Source organism: Homo sapiens, chromosome 16 (genome assembly GCF_000001405.40).
Source record: "Homo sapiens chromosome 16, GRCh38.p14 Primary Assembly".
Taxonomy (NCBI): Eukaryota; Metazoa; Chordata; class Mammalia; order Primates; family Hominidae; genus Homo; species Homo sapiens.
In genome coordinates this window covers 71,325,401-71,330,745 of record NC_000016.10, presented here as the reverse complement: position 1 = coordinate 71,330,745, position 5,345 = coordinate 71,325,401, and the positions used below count along the sequence as shown (strand labels likewise).

The window sequence follows — 5,345 nt, the reverse complement described above, 5'->3', positions numbered from 1 at the left end:
ATATCTTCTTTGGAGAAAAGTCTATTCAGTTTCTTTGTTCACTTTTTAATTGAGTTCTTTGTTTTGTTTTTTGCTACTGAGTTGTAGGAGTTATACGTTTTGAGTATTAGCTCTTTGTCAGATACACAGTTTACAAGTATTTTTGCGCATTTTTTACATTGCCTTCTCATTTTGTTGATTGTTTGCTTTGGTGTGCAGAGCTTTTGGTTTGATGTAATCCCACTTTTCTATATTTACATTTGTTGTCTGTGCTTCTTGTCATATCCAAGAAATTATTACTAAGGTCAAAATCAGGAATATTTCCCTCTATGTTTTTCTTCTAGAAGTTTTAAGGTTTCAGGTCTTACATTTAAGTGTTTAATCCATTTTGAGTTGATTTTTGTGTATAGTGTAAGATAAGGGTTCAATTTCATTCTTTTGTATGTTGATACCCAGTTTTCCCAGCATCACTTATTGAAGAGACTAACATTTCCCCATTGTGTGTTCTTGGCACCCTTGTCAAAGATATGTTAACCACATATGCATGGGTTTATTTCTGGGCTCTCTATTCTATTCAATTGGTCTATATGTCTGTTTTTATGCCAGTACCATGTTGTTTTAATTATTGTAGCTTTGTAATATTTTTTGAAACCAGAACGTATGATGCCTCCAGCTTTGTTCTTTTTGCTCAAAATTGCTTTGACTATTTGGGGTCTTTTGTGATTTCATATAAATTTTAGAATTGCTTTTTGTATTTCTACAAACATGTCAATGGGATTTTAGTAGGGATTACATTGAATCTATAAGTAACTTTGGATAGTATGACCACTTTAACATTATTAACTCTTCCAATCCATGAACATGGGATGTCTTTAATTTCTCTTATTAGTGTTTTATAGTTTTTAGGGTACAAGTCTTTTACTTTCTTGATTAAGTTTATTCCTATTTTATTCTTTTTGGTGCTGTCATAATTGGAATTGTTTTCATATTTTCATTTAGTATAATTTGTTGTTAGTGTTTAGAAACACAACTGATTTTTGTATGTTGATTTTATATCCTGTAACTTTGCTGAATTTGTTTCTAATGATTTTTTATATCCTGAAACTTTGATTAATTAGTTCTAACAATTTTTATGAAGTCTTTTAGGGTTTTCTATATATAAGATCATGAAGTATGCAAACAGGGATAGTTTTACTTCTTCCTTTTGATTTGGATGACTTTTTTTTTCTTGCCTAATTGCTCTGCCTATCATGTCCAGAACTACATTGAATGGAAGTGGTGAAAGTAGCATCCTTGTCATGTTCCAGATCTTAGGGGAAAAGCTCTCAGTCTTTCACCATATGATGTTAGCTATGGGTTGTTCATATATGAATATATATTGTGCTGAGATAAGTTCCTTCTGTATCTAATTTAGTGACAATGTCTATTATAAATTACGTGTTGAATTTTGTCACAAGCTCTTTCTGCATCAATAATCATGGGGTTTTATCTCATTTGTTAATGTTGTATATCACACTGGTTGATTTGCATATGTTGCATATATTTGCAAAGCCTATGGCTTTGATATCAGATGACGCTGGCCTTATAACAAGTTTGGAAGTGTTCCCATGCTGATGGAAATTCTAATTATTGTTTAAGACCTAGCCCCCAAAATAAAACCCTCCATGAAATTCTCCTTGGTTCTTCCAATTGGGATAGCAGAGAGTACTTCTCTACTTGAAGATTTCTGTGTTATAAAACCTTAGCAGAGAAGCTAACACCACCTCCTGCCTCCAAGGCGTGGGTGGAATCTTAATCAATATTTACCAGTAACGATGATGAACACATTTCCAAACTTGCTTCCCACTGATTTGAAAGCCATTAGTAATGAGTCTCAGCTCAGGGCTCAGGCTGGGAATAACCTACTAGGCACTAGGCCTCTGAACAGAATTTTAAACAGTTGAAGTTAGTAAGACTTCTTCCTGCCATATAAAAGCTGGAAACAATACAGATTTAAACATATAATGGTTTATTCTCTCATGTAGAAAAAGTCCAGAGGTGATTGGCCCAGGCCTGGTAATGGAGGCTGTAGGCTGTCATCAGGCAGACTCCTTTCTCTCTGCTTTGCTACCTCCAGTGCATGGCCATCCTGAGTCACCTCTTAGTCTAACATGGCTTCTGGTGTGCCAGCCAGTGGATATCCATGCCACGCTGTAGGTCTGGTCATAAAGGGGGAAAAGGGGGAGAAATAACTTTCTTTTCAAAGAGTTTTTGCAAAAGCTCCATAAACACTTCTAGTTACATCTTGTTGGCCACAACATAGTCACCTGGCCATACCTAGATTCAACAGAATCTGGGAAATATTGCCGCTTAAATACAACTGGCATCGTTTTATAAAGGAGGAAGGTGAGAATGGTTGTTGGCATAGCAAGAAGCAGTCCTTGCCAGAGCTGGAAGGCTCTGATGACAGGCGGTGTTACCAGCATGACTCTCACCTGTAAAAGGAATTGTATACAATGGGAATTTTTGGGGCTGACAGTGGGGTGAGGTGGGGAGCATCAAGATCACAATCATATAGAAAACACCTGGAGCCCCAGAAAGTGGCCTGCCCTGCACTGCAGGTTGTCCTTGGGCCTCCTATATATCTTGCTCTGGAGTGTCTTTCTTTGGATCCTCTTCCAAGGGTCTTTCCTAACCCCAGCTCCAAAATGTGGTAGACTGATTTCCAGAAGCCTTCAGAGTCTTTTCAGTCCTTTGTACTTTTCAAAGCACTTTACACACATGATTCTGTTTTATTCTTACCAAAGCCCCATTTAGTAGTAATAGGTGGTGTTTCCTGATCTTGCTAGAAGCCATTCAAGTGTTAAATACTTCTATGTGCATCATCTTGAGTCATTCTCACAATGACTCTGAGAGTCCAGAATTGCTGGAAGCTTATTTTTCAGATGAAGGAATGGAGGCTCAGAGAGGTGATGTGACTTGCCTGAGGTAACACAGGACATAGGTGGGAGTTGAACCCAGTTCTGTTTGATTCTGAAGCTCCAGTTCCTTAGCCATAAGGCTGGAATGGCTCTTATTTCCATTTGACAATTGAGAAAAAGAGCCTAGGGAGTTTAAGTGTGAAAGGTTATAAACAAGTGGGTGATGATGCCCACATCAGGACCCAGCTCCCAGACCTCTCACCACTGGGCTGCCCGGCCTCATCGCCCAGGACCTGTGAGCACACGTACATGCACCAGTCCATGCCAGGCTGACTGGTGCAGCCCAGATTACCTTTAGATCTCTGCCTCCTCCATACAGTTTCCAACCTAGAAGCATCCAGGCTAATCAAGATCAAAGCAGAATTTGTGAGGTGTCTGGGAGAGGCTGCAGATTTAGCAGCAGGGAGGGAAAACCATCTTTTGATTTGTGAGCTGAACCCCTCTGATCTGAAAATCAATAGGAGTAAATTGGTTAGACCCAGGGAGGCCTTTCCCTGCTATGCCCTGCTGCAAGAGCCCTTGAACGTGCTGCTGTCCTGCTGTTCCCCGGCTGCAGTAGCTCTTGAACTTGCCACTGTCCTCCTGCATTGTGACTCCCTCCAGGATGGCCCCTGCAGTGGCCCCTGTGGAAAAGCAGCATCAGATGAAGTCATTATTCTGCGAGGACCAGACAAGAGTTTTTTATTTTTTATTTTTTTTATTATTATTTTCTTTTCTGGTTCCAGCCCATGATGTGACTTCGATAGCTCTTCTTTATTGTTTGTCAGGGGCAGCTGTTCTGGAGTCTCAGTTGCAGAAGAAAGGCCTGGATTTAATAAGTTTTTATAGCAAATGCCAACTGGGCCTATCAAAGCTGCCTGGAGACCCCACAGGGCATGCCATGGCCTCTTTCAAGACTCCTCAGTTCTGTTCAAGAGCTGAGAACTGCAGGCATTTCAGATGCATCGGCCACTGGGGTGAAACGCAGGCCAGGAACTTGTTGTCTCTCCTGTCAATCATTCTGGGCAGAAATTACCAGGGGGGCACTCACTGACCACCTGAGCAGTTTCAGGAGCACCCAGGATCATTAGACCCAAAGCTGGAAGGGAATCTTATCATCATCTTGTTCACTCCTGGATCTCCAGGCTGAACCATGGTAAACCAAACCTATGGGGAATATTTTCCAGTTGTAAATAATTTGGTAGAGGGCCTTGTACCCTGTCTCAGTGCTGGCACATCCTAGGTACTCCATGAATAAACATTGATTGAATGAATATATGAATAAATTGTCACTGTAACTAAAGGCTATAGAGCCAGGAAGTTCTTCAGGGAACTCTGAGAACTCACATTTAATCATCAGCTGCACAGGAGTTTAGAAAAGTGTGAGCTCAAAAACCTAGCACCTAGGTGTTCCCAGCACTGTGCCTCCTGAGCACTGACCTGTTACTCCACCCCCGCCCCATCGTAGGTGGGTTTCTTGGGCTCTGGTTGCTGTAGCAGGATAGTCAAGCTTTACCATCTGACAGATCTAGGTTCAGATCCAGACTCTGCCACCTGTTAGCTACATGATCTTAGGCAAACATCTTTTGGAGACTCACTTTTTCTCAGTAGAATGAGGCAGCAATTTTATCTAACTCTTGGGCTGTTTACAGGTTGCCCGAGACAATGCACGTGAAGAGTGCCTGGCACTTGGTAAAGAGATCACAGTAATGGTTACTATGACATCACCGTGACAGTAGGTCCCTGGATCATTCTTTTCTGTCCACTCCCACCCCTGCATCCAGCCAGGTTCTCCTGGCTACAGTGTAGACCTCACCTTTTCCCATTTTGCCAAGGCCAGAACTGTACTTGTGGAACTTCACTAAGAAAAGAAAGATAGATAAAACCCTTCTATGACTCAAAACACTCATTTTCCTTTAAAATTTCAGGAAATAAACATTCACCTGCCATAAGTTGGATTGACTGGCTTAGCTTACCTGAGGTACAGTCCTAAAACACTTCTATTTCATCATACTTGCCTCAGGATCCTTAATAACACTGATTAATTATTGACAGATTGACTTATTATTTATTATATATTTATGGTGATCCAGGCTTGGGGAATGCAGTGCTGGGTTAGACAGACAATAAACAGTTAAATATTTGGAACACCAGAAGGTTGTCAATGCCCTACAGCCAAAGAGCAATGGGATTATACCTGTAATTGAGCGAAGTTGCCTTTATTGGCTCTTGGCAGTGAGAGAGAATGTATGCTGGGGAGCTGCATTATCCAGATGTCCTTAGTTTTTACCTAGTGTTCCTTTTTCATTCTAGGATCTCATCCAGGATACCATAGTTCATTAGTCCTCACGTCTCCTTAGGGTCTTCTTGGCTGTGACCGTTTCTCGGACTTTCCTTGTCTTTGATGACCTTGACAGTTTTAAGGAG

At 40.9% G+C, this 5,345-nt stretch overlaps 1 long non-coding RNA gene across 3 annotated transcripts; it reads right to left on the bottom strand.

Annotated features, from left to right (window-relative positions):
• Positions 1–1,970: 1,970 nt before the first annotated feature.
• LOC102725168 (uncharacterized) lies at positions 1,971–4,610 on the bottom strand. Of its 3 annotated transcripts, none has more exons than XR_933709.3 (3): positions 4,517–4,610; positions 2,296–3,562; positions 1,971–2,177 (listed from the first exon to the last, which is right to left on the bottom strand). It is a non-coding gene; the product is annotated as an uncharacterized LOC102725168 (long non-coding RNA). The 3 variants fall into 3 exon arrangements; XR_933711.3 differs by having other exon boundaries at positions 2,454–3,562; XR_933710.2 differs by lacking the exon at positions 1,971–2,177 and having other exon boundaries at positions 2,184–3,062; positions 3,232–3,562.
• Between the last annotated feature and the right edge of the window lie 735 nt (positions 4,611–5,345).